General features: G+C 37.5%; 4 annotated features.

Moving 5' to 3' along the window:
* Nucleotides 19,337–19,927: an enhancer, noted in NCBI's record as "OCT4-NANOG hESC enhancer chr6:92009635-92010225 (GRCh37/hg19 assembly coordinates)". NCBI's record gives its function as "activates a minimal SCP1, AML or CMV promoter by ChIP-STARR-seq in naive and primed H9 embryonic stem cells {active_cell/tissue: H9 hESC(naive and primed)}" and the evidence as "EXISTENCE:reporter gene assay evidence [ECO:0000049][PMID:30033119]".
* Nucleotides 19,928–20,520: an enhancer, noted in NCBI's record as "OCT4-NANOG hESC enhancer chr6:92009042-92009634 (GRCh37/hg19 assembly coordinates)". NCBI's record gives its function as "activates a minimal SCP1, AML or CMV promoter by ChIP-STARR-seq in naive and primed H9 embryonic stem cells {active_cell/tissue: H9 hESC(naive and primed)}" and the evidence as "EXISTENCE:reporter gene assay evidence [ECO:0000049][PMID:30033119]".
* Nucleotides 20,521–21,112: an enhancer, noted in NCBI's record as "OCT4-NANOG hESC enhancer chr6:92008450-92009041 (GRCh37/hg19 assembly coordinates)". NCBI's record gives its function as "activates a minimal SCP1, AML or CMV promoter by ChIP-STARR-seq in naive and primed H9 embryonic stem cells {active_cell/tissue: H9 hESC(naive and primed)}" and the evidence as "EXISTENCE:reporter gene assay evidence [ECO:0000049][PMID:30033119]".
* Nucleotides 21,113–21,705: an enhancer, noted in NCBI's record as "OCT4-NANOG hESC enhancer chr6:92007857-92008449 (GRCh37/hg19 assembly coordinates)". NCBI's record gives its function as "activates a minimal SCP1, AML or CMV promoter by ChIP-STARR-seq in naive and primed H9 embryonic stem cells {active_cell/tissue: H9 hESC(naive and primed)}" and the evidence as "EXISTENCE:reporter gene assay evidence [ECO:0000049][PMID:30033119]".

The following is a 22,155-nucleotide window of genomic DNA, read 5'->3' as shown; positions in this document are numbered from 1 at the left end:
GAAAGAGTAAATTAATGCCAACCAAGAGTCGTGTAGACAAATACAAGACTTGAAGAAAATATTGAGCTGAGTTTTAAGAGAAAAGTGAAAGTTGACCAACTAGAGGTATGGAAGGAAGGCATTCCAGACTAGAGAAAACAGAAGAAGAAATAACAACGTATACTCTGTCTAGGGTTAAGTGTAATTAGATGACTGGGAGAAAGTGATCTGAAATGAGCATATAAGTGTAGACTGAAGTCATATTATGAAGTCTGCACTATCCACAGGCATTTGAATTTTTTACCTTGTAAGCAGCAGGAATTCATAGAATATTTTTCAGCAGTGAAGAGACAATAACATAGTATGCAGTCTTAGTCCAATCCTGCTGCTATAACAAAATACCACAGATGGGGTAATTTATAAGAGATAGAAATTTATTTCTCACAGTGCTGGAGATGGAGATGTCCACGACCAAGGCTTGGCAGATTCAGTATCCGGTGAGGGCTGGCTCCCATTGCTTTAAAAGTGACTCCTTGTTGCTATGTCCTCACGTGGTGGAAAGGCAGAAGGGTAAAAGGGCCAGGCAGTTCTCTCAACCATCTGTTATAAAGGCATTAATCCCGTTCACCAGGGCAGAGCCCTGATGCCTTCATCACTTCCCCCAAAGGCCTTAAATACTATCACCTTGAGATCAAAGTTCCAACATGAGAAATTCAGGAACATATACAGTCAAACTACAGTCCATGCTTTAAAAAAATCATCCTAAACCTCATGTCAAGCATTCTCCTTAAGTAAATAAATAAATATGTTAATGAATAAAAGGGAAGTATTGAATATTTTCTAGTTTTCAGACCAGATAACTTGGTAGAAAAAAGGTGATGAAATTAACTGCTGTAGGGAGCAAGGAGGATATTGGATTTGAAGATGAAGTTAAATTTCATTTGGTTCAAAGTTGGTAGTGAGCTAGAAATCTGGAAAAAGAAAAGCTCTTAAGGGCCACATGCCAAGTTACCAATTTCCAGCCTCAATAGAGTAGACAAGGTGTGGTGGGAGGGATGGAGAGAGGGAGAGACAGAGGGAACCTGAGCTTTCTGTACTTCTTGCCAGGGGAGGGAAGTCATTTCTATTGGAATTGTTAGAGCAATCAACAATAATTTTTTTTTTTTTTTTTTTTTTTTTTGAGACGGAGTCTTGCTCTTTCACCCAGACCAGACTGCAGTGGCGCTATCTCTGCTAACTGCAACCTCCACCTCCTGGGTTCATGCCATTCTCCTGCCTCAGCCTCCCGAGTAGCGGGACTACAGACGCCTGCCACCGCGCCAGGCTAATTTTTTTGTATTTTTTAGTAGAGACGGGATTTCACCATGTTAGCCAGGATGGTCTCGATCTCCTGACCTCGTGATCCGCCCGCCTCGGCCTCCCAAAGTACTGGGATTACAGACGTGAGCCACCGTGCCTGGCCACAATCAACAATAATTTCAAGAGAGATGAGAACAAGCAATGACTGTACATGGCACTGAAAGTTAACTTGGGGTCCACAAGCTGTCACACTGTTCTCCTCACTTTAAGATTCAGAAACTGGTACAAACATTCTGAATCCATCCCAAAGATAGCATTTACATGTGTATATGTATGTGTGTGTGTGCAGTAGAATAGTTGGCTGAAATTTTTAAAAAATCATGATTCAGCACAATGAGGAGTTCACATGGAATTAAAAGACAAAATGTATCCATTTAATTAATAGTTACTTATTAAAGACCAGGGTGAGACAAATGAGGTAAGAGATCCTGCCCTTAAGGAGATATCAGTCTAGCAGAAGAGACAGGCAAGGCAAACAGAGCAGAAACATAACAATTAATGAAGGCTCACTCTATTGCTCATAATTTATATTCATTTATAATGGTTGTGCACTATAACCTCAGCTGCACATAGTCAAAAATTTGTCCTGTTCACCACCATATCTCAGGGCCCAGGAAGAGTCCCTGGTATATAGAATCCCCTCAGTAAATACTTACACTAATTGATGAGTATGCCGTGAAACAAGAATCATGATAACAATTTCAAAGATTAGAAAACTAATGCTAAAAAATGGTTGAGTAACTTGCTAAGAGTATGTAGCTAGTAAGTGGCAGAGTTAGAAAGTCAAAGCTACAAACATCTGTATAAGATTTCCTACTCAGTCACACATTTGCCTTTTAAATATCATCCACACATAAACACTCTGAAATGAATATGCAGAAGAAAAAAAGGTGTGGTCTTTCCTTAGTATGAGTCAATTTGTACAGCTGAAATAGGGAAAAATATTGTTATTCAATCCACCTAAAATGCCAGTGCCCTTAAAAACAGCGCTATTAGTAATGCAAATATGAAGTCCCCAGGATTGTGAAAAGCCTGCATAACCAAACAGCAGGTCTTATGAGACACTCCTGCTTCCAGAGCTCTGGCTTGGCTGCTCTCCATTTACTTATAAATGGCCAGGGCTGCAAACCTCTGAAGAGCTAAACATCTACAACTTGTGACAAAGATTCTCCAATGAGGAAGCACTGTGTACTGTGTATTCAAACTCTCCTACTTTTTAGGTACTCTTATCACTACACATTCAGTAGTAGTTGAGCATCTAAATGGCCTTTTAACTCAGGTCTGAATGAGACCTATAAAATATAGTCCTATCATTTCATTTTATTGGAAATAAATACATAGAATAAGATATATTTGTATGGTAGACTTATCCTTTCAAGCTGAACAAGATGAAAAATATACTTTCTTGAAATGGAAGTTTTCCAGGGCTCAAAAATATTTGGTCAGCATTTCTGGAAATCTATAGGAAACCAGTTATATTTATGCTGTATGAAAGTCTCATATTATAAAATGAGTTATAAATTAAACCAAAAATACTGAACACAGGTTGTCATCTCCCTTTTTCTTTTTCTCTCATTTATTTGTTTTATTAATAACCTCTTATTGCTAATGGCATACAGCACATTTGTGCAATATATCTTTCTATGATAAACATTGATTTTGAAGAAAGAAAAATCAAGTTAAATAAATGATACATGCAATAGCATTTTTTCTTGTTTACATTGTAAAGTCAGAGATACAATGTTTCTAATATTGATTTAAATGGGAATGAAAAATGTCTTCGTTTTCCTATTGGTCGATGATTCTTATTCTTATTGCCAGAATTAAGAATCCAAGGCCCATCCAAGACTAAAAAAGCAAAACTCCATGAAGAATATACATGAAACACACTTAGGATGATAATTTCTCAGTAAACAATCTGTTTGTAAAACACTAAAATGCATTATTATTCACACTCATTTTATTTTGGTTGTTAAATGGCATCATCTAGTGAGGCGAATGGTGTTATAAAAAGATAGATAGCAAATATTTTAGGCTTTGTGAGCCACTTATGGTCTCTATGATATATTCTTAATTTTCTTTAAAAAAAATTGTTTAAAAATGTGGAAAACATTCCTAGCTCTCGAGCTGGATCTGGCCAGTGGCCTTGAGTTTGCCAAAGCCTTCTTTTCTGTTCTAGTTTCATTTTCAGAAGGCAAACTCTTAACCATTTGTTGATGCTCTTAACTTGGTTGCATAGAGACAGAAATGTTTTCTGAAAAAGGAGAAAAATAAAACTTTCCAATTCAACTGTGTTTTTTTTTCTTTATAGTTGCATTCACCAAGATTTGTATATTAACAAGTCTAGACGATTTCAGGGCCCGCTCTGTGCCAGCAAAGGGTCTCAGAACTTCGCCAACACAATCTCATAGAGCATGAATATTCAGTTGCATGAAGACTCACTCCTAATAACACATGCAAATGAAGGCCTAGTTCATAGTGAACTACATGTAAATTGCTCCGTGTAAAAATCCACAAAGTCCTGCTGATCTGATTCTGTCCTTTCATTTGGCAAATGGCCATTAAGTGTCTGCACATCTCAGATACTATGTGAGGACCAGGGAATCCAATGGAAAGCAAACCTTGAAGGCCTTGCCCATACGGCCCTTGATGCAGAGAGAGAAAGATAGAAAATAAACATGTGTGCAACGGAGAAAATAAACAGGGCCGCCATGTGATGGACAGCAACAGTGTTTGGAGATGAGAGTCAATTGCTTTTTAAAATATAATGCTTATAGAGTGATTATTAACCTCAAATTCAGTAATCCCTCCCAGGCATACTCAACTCAGTTCAACAATATTCACTCAAATTGAGGTCCTACATGTGAAAAAAAAGATATATATTTTTTTCATTTTGAATAAATACATTCATTGCTTTTACTCTGGAGTGTGAAATATAAATAGGATAGTCAGAAAAGTGCTGATTTGCTTATAATACTAAATATTACATGAAAGTTACCAGCCTCTGATGTAAAATTTGTCAAGATGAAATAACAACTGTCATGGAACTTCAGGAACTCTTTCTAATAATCTCGTAATCTTCAAAATTTTCACAAAGAAACCTTGTCACTTGAGATCTTTTACAAAGAGATGTGATCTTTCACAAAGAGATCTTGTCAGTAAAAAAATAATAGCCAACAGAAAATGCTATTGAGAAAAATTTCATAAATTTTACCAAGACTATTATATGCATTTACCAATACATTACAAAACACTGAGAATAGTTAAAACAGTCCTTGAAAATAAATGCATTACATTTGCTATCTCTAATTTCACATCCTGTGTTTTTCACGTTCTTGCTAATCCTCAAAATACAATAACCTGTAGTATGTAGTATTAACAGATCTCCTCATAGTTATTGCAAATTAGCAAGTTCCCATAGCATTATATTTCATTCCCTTACTATTAAATACATTCAGATTATGCTATTTATTAGACTTGGCACTCATTCTAAACTGATTTATTTTGCTTTTCATGTCACTATTTTAAATTTATTTTAAATATAATCTTAATCAAAATAACAAGGTAGAGCACACATTTTTGTGCATTAAATACTGCCTTTGGGACTTTAGTGAGCTCTTGAGGTTACAAGCTAGATTTCAAGAAAGTTTTCATAATCCACATAAGAGGAAACAGTTGGAGAAAAGCCACCAAGATCAGGTTTTAAAATGTGACTCTTACAGAGAAAGCAAAATGATTAAGACAGTTTGGCAATGAGGAACAAAAGATTAGGGCAAGCCAGATCTTCTCAAATGCAATGAGGTTTAGAGAAGATGAGTGAATAGTTTTATTATTCACGTAATTTAGATTATTACTGTAAAGGACTGATATGAAATGGAGAAGTTTACAATAAAATCATGGAAATGTTTTTATCTTAAATATATTACACAGTAGGCCCATATAAATTATGGTTAGATACTAAATATAATGAAATGTAATACTTGCATTTTATTTTTAGTATATCATAGGATCTTCTTTTTTTCTTTCTTTCCCTTTTCATGAGAAGGAATTTCTCAGACTAGATCTTTTCTCTACCTTCACTCATTTATGTGACTGGTAATTCTTGGTTAGGAAATTGGGCACACTCAGCTCAGGCCCATCAGGGTTGTTTTATTTCTTTTGCTTTTTGTTCTTGGCAATCCATACTCGAGAAGCAGACCCTGCCCTCTCTTCTGTATGTTAGAATCGTAGGAAGGCAATGCCCAGTTGGAAGGTTCTTCGTGTTCCAGAGCTGTCTGTGACTGAGTGGGAAAATCAGTCGTATTCAGGGACGAAATATTAGGCACATTCTCCAATCAGTTATTTCACCACCATTCTGTCTCTTGTGTTCCAATTAGGTCTGTATTGGTAGAGGAAAATGTCATTTACTTGTTTCACCAAACCCCAGTAGTAGAGGGGGACCCAGTACATTCAATGTCAGGAAGGGTGGGTTCCAAGGCTGATTTTACCGTTAACCTGTTCTACCACTCCAGAAAAGGGCTGCTCTAACATCTTCAAATTTTATTTTGCCATAACAGTGAGGTTTGTCCTGGACAATCTCTCAAGTTCTTCCACACTGTTGATCAATAAAATTACCTAAAATGGTGTTTCAATCCACAAATAGTTATTAAAATTAAAAAGGCATTTTATAGAAATAAAATACAAGTATCATTAACTGGCTACTTACTGTTTCCTAGAACTACTCAGCCAAACATTTTTTATTCATTAGCTTGTTTTTAATTTTCACAATATTCCTTTGAGATATCATCCTTAACTCCTTTCTACAAATAAAGAATCTGCGTTTTAGGGATCAGACATCTATCCCAAGATTAGAAAGCATTTTAAATATAGATTTTGAATTCATCTAAGTTAGTGTGGCTTTAAAATTCACATGGTTACTTAGCAAATATCCTTATATCAAAATTTCTTATTATATCTTTTATATGTAATGTAAATGAATTCAATTATTCTGGCATTAGTCACACGATTTGTCCTTCAAAGCCTGTTATTTTTCTTCTATAGATTTATTTATACATACATATACTAAAATAGTAAAATAATTCACATATATAATATGATATATAATGTTAATATATACTACTGATTTTATACATTATACTATTGTTTAATATACATAAGTATATATGCTTTTTTACTTTTCTGTATCTTCATATTTTTAATCAACATTAAAAACTCTAAAATGTATCCCAACAAAATTCACAGATCGAAAAAATTGCAAAATAACTATACCTCCCAGTTACTATGAATGTGTTAAAGAAAGCATGATTAAGGTTTATATCATAGAAAAACACAACAGAGATGGAATAACAGAAAGAAAGTAGTGAAGGCTTTCTCATTATATTAATTTATCTTCCACGATGATTAAAATATCTTTATGTTTATATCTTTGCTTTTTTAAAAAAGAGACCTAGAATCCACAAAATGACTAAACCTTATAAAGTTGAAAAATCTATCAACACCTACTTTTTAGTAAATAACAATTAAATTTCATCCCATAATTTTCAGGTTTTGTATGAGATACTACTTTTCTTTTGCACTCCAAAGTCATTGAAGAATGTTAATATTTAATAAAGCAGTAAAATATAGTGCTTGAATATCCTTTATATCCTCACAAAAAGAGTGACTTCATTTATGTTTTCTTTTAAGTAAATCCACTTTGGATTTCAAAGGTAATGTAATCTGTAATTAAAATGCCTCACAAAAAGTGTTGTGGAGGGGGGCATCAACCTCCTAAAAAGTCATTATAGAATTATAGCCAATACAGCTGAATTATTTTGTAGAAAGACCCACTGTTAAAAAAATAAAATAAAAAACAAAAAACAGCATAAAGCAAACTAAAAGAATGAAGTTGATATCCCGGACTGCCATTTCAACACTGACGCTTGCTACTTATCAGCATCACGGCCAGATAGTGGACCTCTTCAGGTGTCAGTTTCCTCTCCATTGACCCACTCCATAGGGTCATTGTGAGGTAATTGATGCAAGCTTCCTGCAACATGCACAGAGCTCATTAAATCATAGCTATTATGTTTATTATGTTAAGGAGAATGTAATGTTGTGTTCTTGTATTTCCAAACAAATGCTAATAAAATCTCCTATTTCCCCCCAATATTAGGGAGCAATCAATAGCTTTATTGTTCAAACAAAACAATAACCTTTCCCATAAAGGAGTATCAACACATTCATAGTCTTCCTCGTGTCTTAAGTTCACATAACTCTTCCTATTATTGTGTTATAATGAAGTCACTCCTTAAAAAATAATAAAAAAAATACTATTATTGCTTAAAACTGAAGAACCAAACTTAGAAAGTATGATAGATGTGAAATCCTATAAACCTAACAGTTTAGTACATTATAATGAATTATGTCTAGATGTTCATGTGCTTAATAAATATTTTCAGAGTAATATTAGCTATGGTATGTTCCAAAATGCATTAAGCTGGTCATCATTGTAGAAGTAATGGTTATGTTTTTAATAGACCTATACACATTCACCCGTTTATTTTGGTTACTTTTATGGGCTAGTGTGAAGGGTTTTGGCATTTCAGGGCAATGAGAAGTTTTACACACACACACACACACACACACACAGAGGAAAACATGTGTTGATGTATAGTCATCACTGACCTGATTATGAAATATAGTGTTAGAGATTCAATAGGGGAATTGAAAGACTGATATTAGAAGGAAATATTACATTGTTGTGCTTCATTTCCCAGCACATAGATTGTCTGACTGTGTTCAGAGGATGCAACATATTTGAGATTCTACGTGTATTTCAAATATGCTGAAGCCTACACAATACCAGGCACACTTACAGCTTTCACTAAATAAGTAAACAGTCTGTAATGCTCCCTGTAACTTCTCTGATTGGAGAAAACCAAAAAGATAATATTTTCCACTAGTCTGAGACACAGAGGCATTTCAGAAATATGCACTATTTTATACAAAATCTATATGTAAAAAAATCATTTAAATGTCTTTGGAAAGAACATTTACAGTATGATCTTCTGAAATGAGCAGCACTATACTTTGGTGGCCCACTTCAGTTTTATTTGTTTTGTTTTCTCTACTTCCTTCTAACCATATATTCCAGTTGCCTGTCCACAAAATATATACCTAGCCTATGTTGAGGTATAATTTCTTTTTTTGCAGAACAAAGGTATTTATAATCCTAAACACCCCCTAAACAAATGCTTTTGGTATTTTATTTTTTCTGGGGGTATTTAAAAATAATATACTTTTTTTTGTACTTGTACAAAGTCAAGCAAATGCAATTATGGCCCCTCTGTTGTAGAAGAGTGCATTTAATTTATTAGGTAGCTTGTTTTGTACACATATTCTCCTGGAGCATCTCTGACTTTCTCAAATATTAGGTTACTATACGTTGCAATATTTGATATACCCTCCACTGTGCATCAATCCTCAGAGAGAGTGAAATCTTTTATTGGATTGGTTGAAAATCAAAGGCACATAGAAGCGATTTGTAATCTATAAAATGCTCTCTCTGCACCAGTGCCACCCACCAAAAAGCAACACAATAGGTAACTTAATGATTAGAGAAATAGTGATGATCTAAATCAAGTTACTCTTAATCTTTAACATTCAATGTGTGCATGTGTGGGCCTGCAGGGAATTTTGGAAAATGAGCAGAGACAGATCATTTTGTTAGAAGATCTTAATGCTAGATGAGAAAAGACATAATCTGCATAGTCAGATATACAGGGATGCCATTTCCAGACATTAGTGCATACAGCCAGCTTGCACCTTAGTTTTATCACCTGTAAAATAGGAATAATCATTTTTACTTCATAACATTGTTGAAAGATTAAATTTCATGCATGTGTAAAGCTCCTACCACATAAATCTTCCAGTACATCTTTGTCTTTTTATAAATATTAGTGGCATTTACTCTTCCTTTGTCTTCTCCATCATTTAAATTAATATCGGAAATCATTTACTGAGCACGTTATATGATAAAATAGTAGACACTGAAGAAGGTTGCCCTGAAGCAGCTCTAAGCCAGTGGGGAGATACTCATACAGCCCGTTCACTCACACGCACACACGGATACTCAATCAACAGCTCTTTTCTGTTAACAGCGTCATCATCATTCTTCCATTTTCTCTTTGCCCACAGACTGAACCCAGACTGGCCATTAATCATCAGAGCCCATCAGACCCACCTCCTTAACATCTTTTGCATCTATTTAACTCTTCATATTCTTCTGCTGGCCACTACCCTGCTTTGGGCTCATATTGGCTTCAGTAATGCAATTGTTTCTTAATAGACTTTTTCTTGCCACCACTATCTGATGCATACTTTGCATGACTACCTTGGTTATCATCATTAAAACAAATTTCATTTTTTCCCTACTTTCTAAACCCTGTAATTTCCTCATTGAAAACAAAGCCTATGTGTTCAGACCAGTAAAGACCTTGACCTCTTCCTACAACTGTATCTTCTAATAAGCAGTCAACCCATCCCAGGTCATAATGACAATAAATGTTCCTCAGGTGTGAGCTGCATCCTCTGGCCTTTCCTCTGTTTCTCAAGTTGGAATGATATACTTTCAATGACATATCCTTCCCTCACCACAAGATATTATCTTGTCAAACTTTATCCCAACCTTGTGATACTGATCTATCTTGTTGGCATGAATCCTTCTACCCCATATTATCATTTCTATATTATGACCTCCATTATGATAAACTCTCTTAGAGATATTTGTCTGCCCATATATCTCCTCCACCAGCAAAGTGAGGTCCTAAAGGGGAAAGACTGTCAGACTTAGCTATGGTTTTCTCAGGCCTTAGAATAATGTTTTAGTTAGAGAAGCTTTAAAACAGATCCACTCAAATGCAACTGGTTTCAGCTGTACTTAGGCAAATCGTGGATAGCAATTTATCTTGCTTTTCTCTCTCATTCATTTATATGTTGCATTTTTCAACTCTGTAACATCCTTCTCTAATCTTTGACTAGTGATATTCAATCCCATGCTCTCTTTTGTTTTAAACAGTTGGTTTCCTTTTAAATGGAGTCTATAGTCAATCAACTTCCCATATTTACTATAGAAGAGCCATGTAACCTGTCATTTGTCCAATTCATTGATGCAGGATAGGAGAAGAGTTGAATCCAGGCTTCCAGAACTCCCAGTGGAAATGGCCCATATTGACTGAATAAATGGAATACAGATAAGAATATGTCAGATGCCCACAAGAAGAAGATAACATCACCAGTTGGGATTCAAAAATAATTACCTACACAGGCCATGTGTGGTGGCTCACGCCTGTAATCCCAGCACTTCGGGAGGCCAAGGCAGGCAGATCATTTGAGGCCAGGAGTTCGAGACCAGCCTGGCCAACATGGTGAAACCCTGTCTCTACTAAAAATACAAAAATTAGCTGGGTGTGGTGGTGGGTGCCTGTAATTTAAGCTACTAGGGTGGCTGAGGCAGATAACCTGGGAGGCAGAGCCTGCACCTAGATTGCACCACTGCACTCCAGCCCGGGTGACAGAGTAAGACTCCATCTCAAAAAACAACAACAACAAAAAAAAAAACATAAGTAATCACCGACAATTTGGGTATTCTTTTCATCTATTGATACGTAACAACCCAAAATCTTAGTAGTGGTTTAAAACAATGACAGCACTTAATTTACTCACAAATATGAAATTTACTTTCCTCATAAATCTCTGGTTTAATTATATCAGCTGGGGTGGCTTCAAGTCTGGGGGCTGGAAACAAATGAAGTCTCATTCACTTACATGGCCGGTCAACTAGCACCTTGCCTGGGACGTTGGAAAAAGCACTATATCTGGCCTTCCCAAATGCTATGTGGCTTCCTTGCTGCATGGTGGCTGGATTCTAAGGGTAGGAATTCCAAGAAGAAGAGGTGGAAACAATAATGCCTTTTTTGACTTAGCCTCAGAAGTCATATAACATCATTTTTGCTATAGTAACTGGCCCCATTTAGATTTGAGGGGCAGGCACGTAGACTCCATCTTTTGGTGGAGGAATGTCAACATCACATTGTAAAAAAAACCTATGGAATGGGATATATTGGTGAGCAACATTTGGGAAATATAATACTCTACAATGAACTCAAGTATGACATCTGCAGGCATAATCTTTCTGTCTGCTGAGTAATATTCCCCACTGCATATTATGGAACATGTGTTGTTATGATAAAGGCAGAGAAGGGATTAGGATTAGTAAAAATGTTGCCCAGTATAGTAGGGTTTTACTCCCTGGGATTGAGATTAAGACATTTCATAACTTACTATAGATATTCTCAAGCTCTACTGTACCTATGAGTTAACTATGGCACTTGTTTAAAGATGCAGATTCCTGATACCCAGAGATTTTAAATCAATAGGTCTGACTTGGGTACACAGTACGTGACAAATACCCTCAGAAATTCTGAGTTAGTTAATCTAGCATCCACACTTTGAGAAATACTGATTTATTCTGCTATTTTAGTACATGAACAAAAGATAAAAAATAATACATTTGTATGAGTCTTTCCAATATACAACTAGTGTTTTGAAGGAGTAGGGTGGGAGGGAAATGACTATGCTGAATGCAAGCTGAATAACCAGCTATGCTGATATGTTTTATTTTCTCAGCCTTATTGCCTTGGTATTTAGAAGTAATTAACAGGTACTTGCCAAATGAGATATGGGATGTGTGAAAGACTAATTGTTGAATATGGGCAATCTCTATACATGTTTCTTCATTTCAAACTTTAAATCAACTTGGTATGTATTTTTCTTTTTTTTTTCTTTTTGAGACTGAGTCTCACTCTGTCACCCAGGCTGAGGTGCAGCGGCACAATCTTGGATCACTGCAACCTCCGCCTTCTTGGTTCAAGACATTCTCCTGCCTCAGCCTCCTGGTAGCTGGGATTACAGGCACCCACCATCACGCCCGGCTAATTTTTTTTTTTTCTTTCAGTAGAGATGGGATTTCATCCTGTTAGCCAGGCTGGACTTGAACTCCTGACCTCAGGCAATCCGCCCACCTTGGCCTCCCAAAGTGCTGGGATTATAGGCATGAGCCACTGAGCCTGGCCTTTGGTATGTATTTTTCATAAAAGGAAGCTGAGGTTTAGGAGGCAAAATTGTACACAGTAAAGAACTAAGTGGATGTACCACCAAGACTCAGTTTCTCTGACTCCAGAGATACTGTCTTTTTGTCCGTATACTTCAATGCTCAGCATCTTTGTATAAATCTGAAATTGGTCTCATATTCTGTATCATTTATGTGAATAATTTACTTAAATACAGACATCCTACAAGGACCACCCACAGACTCCCCCATCACTATGAACTAGAGAGTATTTGATAACACTTGCCATAAACACATTTCATTCTGAAGTCATCTCATCTCTGAAATGCAGCACTCAACACGAAGATTCAACCAAATACTTTGTGAAATGCTTTACAAGATAAAACGCTCCTCTTTGTGAAAAAGACTGGCACTACTTTTAGGTAACCCTGTTCCCACAACTGAAGATGAATTGAGTTGACCTTCTGTCTGAGCAAGAATATAAGTTTCTCTCTTAAACTTTCTCATTTCAGTAACCACTTCTCCTTCTTAACTGTAAGTTTTTCAGTTTAGCAAACAACATAGACTATCTGCACTGCAGGAAACTGTGAGAATTCAGTCATGAGTTAACTGCCTCCTAACACAGACCAAAGGCTCTTGTAAGACATATGATGTTGGAGGTAGTGTAATGGGCATGTTAACTATCCCTACTCCTAGTCTCCAGGCTCTAGCCCACTATCAACTTTAATCATCAGAAAGTGGAATACCTCGGCCATTTCCTCTTATCCCCTGCAGAAAGGGCTTCACTGAGCACAATTTAATGTTATGTTCTCAGCCAGTAAAGTGAATCAATACCAGAGCTGTCCATTTTAGCAGTATCTTTGTTTCTTGCAGACATCGTTATGTTATTCAGTACCTCTTAATCAAGGAACCACGTGATAAATTTTGTCTGAAATTTGGTCCCAGAAAGTAAGTTTGCTTCTACAGATAAACGTATTTATTTTATTTTGTCAGAGAAGAAAAAATTGTGTAAACCAATGTGTTTATCTTTTTGCGTTTCTTGCTTGGAAACTTAGAGCCATTTTAAGTGCCCAGCTGTAGTAACTGGCTTATACCAAAGGCCCATTAATCTTCTGGCTCCTTTTTAAAAATGTCTGATCATCTTACATTTTGATGTTCATTATTTTTAGGATTAAAAATAATTTTTTAGTATTTAAAAATGGATTATAAAATATTCAGGGTATAAAAATAAAGATAATTTAAAACATGTCCCAAAAGTTAATGGTTCCTTACTCCAGTATTTTGTGAATTTTCTTTCAATAAAAGTTGAATGTGATTTTCTGCTCAGTTCTGGTATGCAGGTATTAGAAACCCACAAAGTCTTTTCTATTCAAAATTACCCCTTTCAGCTCTTATCAACACATTAGGGAAATCATGTCATTGTCAAGTGTTGCTGTCAATCATTTGTCAGTTATCAAGATGACGGTGATGGTAAATAGTGTAGTCATGTCACATCTGGACCACTTTTAACCTCTTCATTTCTGTAGCCCAGATCACTCTGCCTTAATACAAAGATTATACTTGCCTCCGAATGTCTAGAAGAGAATTCTAGGTAAAAATGCATTAATAGTATCCTGACCTAGATTTTCATAATGGATTGATACAGGGCTAGAACTGCTTTACAGATTGTTAACCTAAACAAACATTTCTTTTAGTGAGTAAGAGAGCATAGAATTTAGTGAATAAAGAGAAAACCAGATGTAAAATGTTATGCTGAAATTTATCTGTATAAGCTAAAAAACAGATAACTCTGCTAATCCTCCTTACAAATTTGTGATAGCAATATTATAGTTAATAATAATTCGCCTACTTCTGTGTTTTTTTGTTTGTTTGTTTGTTTGTTTGTTTTTTGAGACGGAGTCTTGCTCTGTCGCCCAGGCTGGAGTGCAGTGGCACAATCTCGGCTCACTGCAAGCTCCGCCTCCCGGGTTCATGCCATTCTCCTGCCTCAGCCTCCCAAGTTGCTGGGACTACAGGCGCCCGCCACCACACCTAGCTAATTTTTTGTATTTTTAGTAGACGCGGGGTTTCAACATGTTAGCCAGGATGGTCTAGATCTCCTGACCTCATGATCCGCCCACCTCAGCCTCCCAAAGTGCTGGGATTACAGGCGTGAGCCACCACACCCGGCCTCGCCTACTTCTTTATTTCTTTTGTAACAAAGCCTGTATTTTAGTTCATCAGGTGCCTAAAATATTACAAATATTTAGCAAATGTATGATCTTGTCAGCTAGGTCACTTGAAAGTACTTTACTGTTCAATTATGTCCCATACGCATTTTAACATAATATACCCAAATTAAACAGGATAAAGAACTTCAGATTGTAAAGTTAAAGGAAGCAAAAGCTCCTTATAGGAGATGTTTTTACTGCTACCACGTACTATCTTTAAAGAAGGACAAATAGCTCTAATTTTCAGGCTACATAACTCCCCTCTCTGCCCCTGCCTCATACCCTACATGTGTTTTCAGAAAACAGTCCTTCTAGCTGTCACAGTACTAGAGTGAAAACTGGGTCCGTGTCTCTCCTAGACATATGAATGACTATGATTTATAAACGAGTAACTTCACTGGGCTTCCCATATTCTTGGTGGTCAAAAGGTGAACTGATTGCCTAATGCTTCAAATTGCTTAACAGAGCTTTACAAGGAAATGCTTCTCACAAACAGCCACGAAATGAACACACACAACACATACCCACTCATACATAGAGGAACTTAAATCTTACAATTTTTAAATAAAATATCTCCTTGAGAAGTATGTGGCCTTGGGGCATCTTCAATGTTTTCTTCTTATCTCCAGAAATACCAGACACATTAACTACAGAGGAATGAGGTGTTGCCCCTTAATAATAGTTACTACCACTTGAAGAATAAAGAACACTGTTTAGTTGCAAGTTCTCATTAACTGAAAATTAATTTATGTCAGTAAAGGTTGTATAAAGCAGACATTACATTTCCTTCCTAGTTTCACATAACTTCCATGCAAAGAGAAAGGATAAATGGCATGGAGAAAGCATTTTTTAATTAATTGGTTACTCTTTCCAAAAAAGACACCAAAAATGCTATGTTTGAGATATTCATAAAGCTCCATAAAGGTTTTTGGTTAACACGGGTAAATGAAATAATATTATTTATGTATGCTCTGGCTACCAAAAGGCTAACACCACCCTTAAAATTTGCTTTTTAAGGGATTAAGCTGCCTGAAACATAACCTAACATCACTTTGTTTAGCAAAGCGAAAATATGTGTTAAGAAACATTAGAATATGTGCTCTAGAAATTTATTATTAATAATATGCTGAGTAATATGAGTTTTATCATGAATATTAAAAATAACACTTAGAAAAGGTGAGCTACTTGAATCTATGGGGATCTTACATCTTTTAAAAATATGGATATTCTTCAGTTTTATTGCGTGTACTACTAGAGACAGTAATGTGCCTCTATCTCATTTCATTCTTGGAAGCGCAATATGAAACATGTACATACACCTCCTAGATCTATGAGAAGACCAAGTATCCAGCATCCACCTTCTCATTTTTTTCCTTATCCACTATGATATTAATAAGACTTATAAAAATACATTGTATTCATTTATCTTCAGTCATTCCCAACTACTAAGTTAGGTAAAGTAATTATTAAATTTAATGAAATATATTTCTTTTATACCTCATACTGAGAGGTGACAACGTGCTAGCAGCCCTCGCTAGCTCTCAGCGCCTCCTCTGCCTCCGGTCAGCTCTGGCTGCTCAAGGAGCCCTTCAGCCCACCCCTGCACTGTGGGGGCCCCTCTCTGGGGCTGGCCAAGGCCAGAGCTGGCTCTCTCTGCTGGCTGGGAGGTGTGGAGGGAGAGGCGTGGGCAGGAGCCAGGCTGCGCGTGGCGCTTGCCAGCAGTGCTGGTTCCGGGTGGGCGCCAGCTCTGCGGGCCCCACACTATGTGCCGCCAGCAGGCACCTGCTGGGCTTGATCAGGGACAAGCTCCCTGGGGGCTGCTGGAGTGCCTGGGCTAGGTGCTGCAAAGTCCCACCACAAGTGCCATTGAGAGGTGAAGCTAGGTGGGCTTCTGGGTCAGGTGGCGACTTGGAGAAATTTTCTGTCTAGCTAAAGTACTGTAAACGCACCAATCAGCACTCTGTGTCTAGCTAGAGGTTTGTAAAGGCACTAATCAGCACTCTGTGTCTAGCCAAAGGTTTGTAAACACACCAATCAGTGCTCTGTGTTTAGGTAATCTGGTGGGGACTTGGAGAACTTTTGTGTCTAGCTAAAGGATTGTAAACGCACCAATCAGCAGTCTGTATCTAGCTAAAGGATTGCAAACGCACCAGTCAGCACTCTGTCAAAACGCACCAATCAGCTCTCTGTAAAATGGACCAATCAGCTCTCTGTAAAATGGACCAATCAGCTCTCTGTAGAATGGACCAATCAGTAGGATGTGGGTGGGGCCAGATAAGGGAATAAAAACAGGCCACCCAAACCAGCAGCATCAACCCGGTGGGGTTCCCTTCTGTGTTGTGGGAGCTTTGTTTTTTTGCTCTTAGCAATAAATCTTGCTGCTGCTCACTCTTTGGGTCTGCACCACTTTTATGAGCTGTAACACTCACTGCAAAGGTTTGCAGCTTCACTCCTGAAGTCTGCGAGACCACAAACCCACCAGAAGGAAGAAACTCCAGACACATCTGAACATCTGAAGGAACAAACTCTGGACACGCCATCTTTAAGAACTCTAACGCTCACCATGAGAGTCCGTGGCTTCATTCTTAAAGTCAGCGAGACCAAGAGCCCACCAATTCCGGACACAATACTTAATGTAGATTGTTGGAGCTCAGAAAAAGATACCCCCAAAATATAGTGCTTTGGCATGTTGAATACTTGGAAGTAAAGGAAATTGGAAAACCTCAGAAACAGCCCCAGAACGCTGGCATGGTCTCTCTGACCTTCTAGTGGCTTCCTGTCTCTCACCCCTCAATCTTCTTTGAAGCAAGTCATAGAAATCAGAATTCCTTATCCCCGAGGCAGGTAATAGTGAAACTGCCTTGGCAAGAATTATGACGGGGAAAAAATTCTGACAGAAAAATTATGACAGTGAAAGAAATCTGACCTGACTCCATCTTGCTTCTAACCTCTAAGCTGTCCTTGTTCACTCCTGGGCATAGACCAGGCTGACTAAGAGAGAAATTTAGTTTAACTTTAAAACAAAGATAGGCTGGTGTCATGGCTTACATCTGTAATCCCAGAACTTTGGGAAGCCAAAGCAGAAGGATTGCTCAAGCCAAAGAGTTCAAACCAGCCTGGGTAAAATGATGAGACCCCATCTCTACAAAGAAAAAAATAAAAAATTAACTGGGCATGGGGGTATGTGCCTGTGGTCCCAGCTAGTCAGGAAGCTAAGGCAGGAAGATCACTTGAGCCCAGGTGGTTGAGGCTGCAATGAGCTGTGTTTGTGCCACTGCACTCCAGCCTGGGAAACAAAGCAAGTACCTGTCTCAAATACATACATGCATACATACATACATACGAAGATAATGACAGCCTCTTCCTGAAACTAATCTGTTACTTGCTCAGGGATCAAATCACCCTTGGAAAACTAACAAATTAGCCATGAGGTTAGACTTATGGCTCAGGAGTCATGTAGTCAGAGGCCACAAGATTCCTAACCTCCTCAATTGCTCCTATAGATAACATCACTCCTGTAAAACCTATGATTGCTGTTCAACATAATTATCAGAACTTGCCTTCTGATAGCCCAGCTGGTGCCACCTAGACCAGCAAACTGGACCAGCTGGTTTTGTGATCCTACCCGATAAATGAAGACAAAAAGAAGACAGCTTCAACCCCCTATGATTTCATCCCCAACCTAGCCAATCAGCATTCCTTATTACATAGCCCCTGCCTGCCAGATTATCCTTAAAAATATCCATAGTCCAAATTTGCGGGGAGACTCCTTTGTATAGTAATAAACTCCTGCCTGGTCACTTGGCCAGCCCTGGGACTATTATATTTTTTCTCTGTTGCGAAAACCTGCTGCTTTCGGTGAATTGGGTTTTCTGGACAATGAGCAAGAGGGACTCATCAGGTGATTACAATAGTAACTAGAAAACAAAACCTAGAAATATTACTTTAACCTTCTCCAGTCTATCTAGGAGCTTGCCATAAAGAAATTCACTGACCTATGCTTGTCTGATAGTAGATTATAAAAACTCCCATTCCAGAGAGATCCTCCCATATTTCCTGGAGGAAGAAATGTTACAGTGGAGAGGCAAAAAGAATCTGAGCAAAAGGCCTTTTAGAATGGTTTTCCTTCCCACTCAGTCTATTACCATTGGATCATACTCTTGTCCAATCACATTTCTACATGGCTATCCATGTTTCATTCAACCTAAGCAAAAAAAAAAAAAAAAAAAAAGTAGTTTTCCCTAAGTCTCTGGATCTTCATTTCTGAAGGCTTTACATGTCATGTAAAACTTTGACTAAATTTGTTATGCTTTTCTCTTGTTAATGTGTCTCTTGTTATAGGCATGTTGGCCATGAACTTTATCTTACAAGATCCATGCAAAGATCCACTCTGGTGAACATCATCTAACTTTTAGAAACGTATGCCCTCACTGCTAGGCTTAACATGACTACCGCTCAGGAAGCCTCTGAAACATAAACAGAGGTAGAGATCCCTTCATTTCTGCAAATTTGATGGAATTTATCATGGGAAAGAGAAGCTTTTCTGAAACAATGCTTAAGGTTTAGAATTAAAGGCATACAAATAAATCTTATTTTTAGAAATATGAAGCCAGAAAATATAACTATTTCTCAAAGAGAATTTCCCTTAGGCGTTAAAAGTTGATGATATAGAAATGACAAAGCATTATAAAAATCTTAGACATTAGAAGCAGGAAGAGACTATAAAGGTTCCTGATTATAAGGATGATTAACCTTCAGTAAGTACTCATCATGGGCTTGACGTGTTGAAAGTGCTTTCATATGAATATCTCCTTTAATATTTATAAGAAGGGTATTAAGAAAGTAGTACTATTGTCCCCATTGTACAGATGAGGAAAGTAAGGCTTACAGAGGATAAGAAACTTGCCCAAGTTCACACAGCCATCTTGAAAGGTGCTCGCAATGGCGCCCAGAGTTCCAGAGCCCAAGTTCCAGGCACTTTTTTTGGACTGGCTTTCTAACACAACCCCTTATTTTTATCAAGTAGAGTAGGGAAGTAAAACGTCCAGAGCCATTTCACCAGTTACCAGCATAATTAGAACTGAAATCAGGCCAGATTAGCACTTAAAAACATATTACTTCTTAAGGAGCTAGACAGATACCATTCTTTCTGTGTCATACAAAGCAGCAATGCCCCTGAAGCAGGAGTTTGGGGCTTTAGCATGTCATTTGGACTGGTCGACTTTCCCTTACTTTTCATTTTCTCTTCACCCATTTTCCTTATATCAAGTCTCATAAAATAACCCTGAGTAGATTACACTGGCCAAGTACAGCACTTCAAGGCTGGTCTGGTGTGTGTAAATTGCCTCTCAGTGGGTGGCTATTATATTTATATTGGTTTAAACTGTTTCCATTGCCAATCCATTATGCTGGAATTCCCCCTTGCTGAGGGCAGCTGTGTTATTCTTTTCTTTGACTGAAGCCCAAGAACTATCTGTGCAACTCCTTGGGAGCCAACCCTTTAAGAGTAAACATATTGAGTCATACAAGGCCACTCAGTATCCCACTGCCACTTGCTGAATCAGGAGCGTTCCCCTCTGGCCCCAACCAGTTCACGTTGCTCATTTTTCAAGAAGATAGAAATTGGAGTGGAGTGAGAAAGTGATGTGATGCCTATTTATGCAGAAAGTCAAAGGAATGTTCTGAAAATAACACTTGTACAAGTAACTGTTTCTCTAGAAGGCAAACACTTAGAGCATAACCACGACTGAGGGTCCAGATGGCCTCAGGTGTGTCCTGATGAGCACCCTTCAAATCAAATGCGACCCTGTGAGTGCCCCTTTCTGAACAAAATCTCCCAGCAAACACCTGTAACTATCTCAGGACTGAACATACATTCTTAAAATGAAAATTTCTTAGTCCAGGTTAGAGTCCAAAATCAGTGACTGGAAGTCAAGAACTAATTGAACATCTGTAATACAAGTTTCTGTGCCTCAGCTGGTGATATGATATAATTAGGAGGCAAGTTTACACATTTTATTGTTCCCTTGGGTACCAGGCTTATCACTACAAACTGATGACTGTTGATAAACCCACCCAGCTGTCCTGTAAATGTAGACCCTTGGTCGCAGGGAAAATAAGGGTGAAAATTTGGATATTTTAAACTTATTGACGTAACAGCAGAGAAAACCAAAAGCCTTTATCTGATGAAATGAGTCAGCTTCATGGTTCTTAATTAGGAATTCACATTTAAGAGTGGTAGTTGTAAGGACAAACGCAAATTAAAAGTAAGGTGCTTAATTCGGCCTGTTGAAAATGAGGAAAGAGCTCCTCTCTCCCTTTCTCTTTGAGCATTTGCATTTGAAAACTTGTAATTATAAGTACCTTCTCTTCTCTTTGAAATGTATGTAAATCCTTTTGAAAACCAGATAGGCCTTTTGTCAGCTTTAAGAGTCAGGATTGCCTTTCTCAAGGATTCAGGAGCCATCTCTTTGAAATGTAAACATCAAGGGGTATAGCACCCCTATCTCCAAGTTTCTCTGAGAGATTAGGAACCTAACTTCAGTGGGCACCTTGCTGCAAGTCACAAAATTACATCCTGCCACAAATATGGGAGAAGTTTGTTTTTTTCTCTGGGTAAAGTCAATTAACACAGACAGTCATCCTGGTAATGGTTGATTTGAGGATGAATTATGTAAGACAAATAGTGCTGTTAAATCTTTTTACTCATGGACTAGTTATTGTTTATATTGAAAGCATGTATGCAATGGGTCGTAACTGGTTGGCATATAGAGGGGTGAGATTTTGCAGTCTTTCAGCTGATTGTGATTAACATCACATCATGGTTTAATGCTAATTCAAAAGCAAAAGTGGGGTGGTTTTTGTTTCTGCTATCTTCGTGGAGAAAATTTCTGGATTGAGAGAAGATTGTGTTTTTAATTCTATTTCCTCAACATCATCAAATTTTGAAGGGAGAAAAAAGAATTTATATGGACTTTGGTGGCCATGCCTAACAGAGCAAGTTTTCCTTGATTCAGGAGACCTGAGTCCTCCCATCTGATATACCAAGCTGCACTGTTCAAACAAAACTCTTTCAGTTACAATCCCAGTCAAGCATGAAACGTTTGTTCTGCTGTTGTTTATATGTGCAACGTACTTTGAGTTCATTAAATTGGCATCACCTTGTTACAGTAAAGTCTCTAAAGCCAAACAAAACTAAAGAAAATAAAATCAGAGTTTTCAAATATTCTTGTGAAAAATGGAGAAATGTAAAGTTGAAAATTGTTTAAAGAAAATTTTAATTGCTACAAAGAAAATAAAATACCTAGGAATACAACTTACAAGGGACATGAAGGACCTCTTCTTCAAGGAGAACTACAAACCACTGCTCAAGGAAATAAGAGAGAACACAAACAAACGGAAAAACATTCCATGCTCATGGGTAGAAAGAATCAATATCATGAAAATGGCCATATTGTCCAAAGTAATTTATAGATTCAATGCTATTCCCATTAAGCT

This window comes from Homo sapiens, chromosome 6 (genome assembly GCF_000001405.40).
Source record: "Homo sapiens chromosome 6, GRCh38.p14 Primary Assembly".
Taxonomy (NCBI): Eukaryota; Metazoa; Chordata; class Mammalia; order Primates; family Hominidae; genus Homo; species Homo sapiens.
Note: the sequence above shows the minus strand (reverse complement) of the source record. Positions and strands in the feature narration are given on the sequence as shown.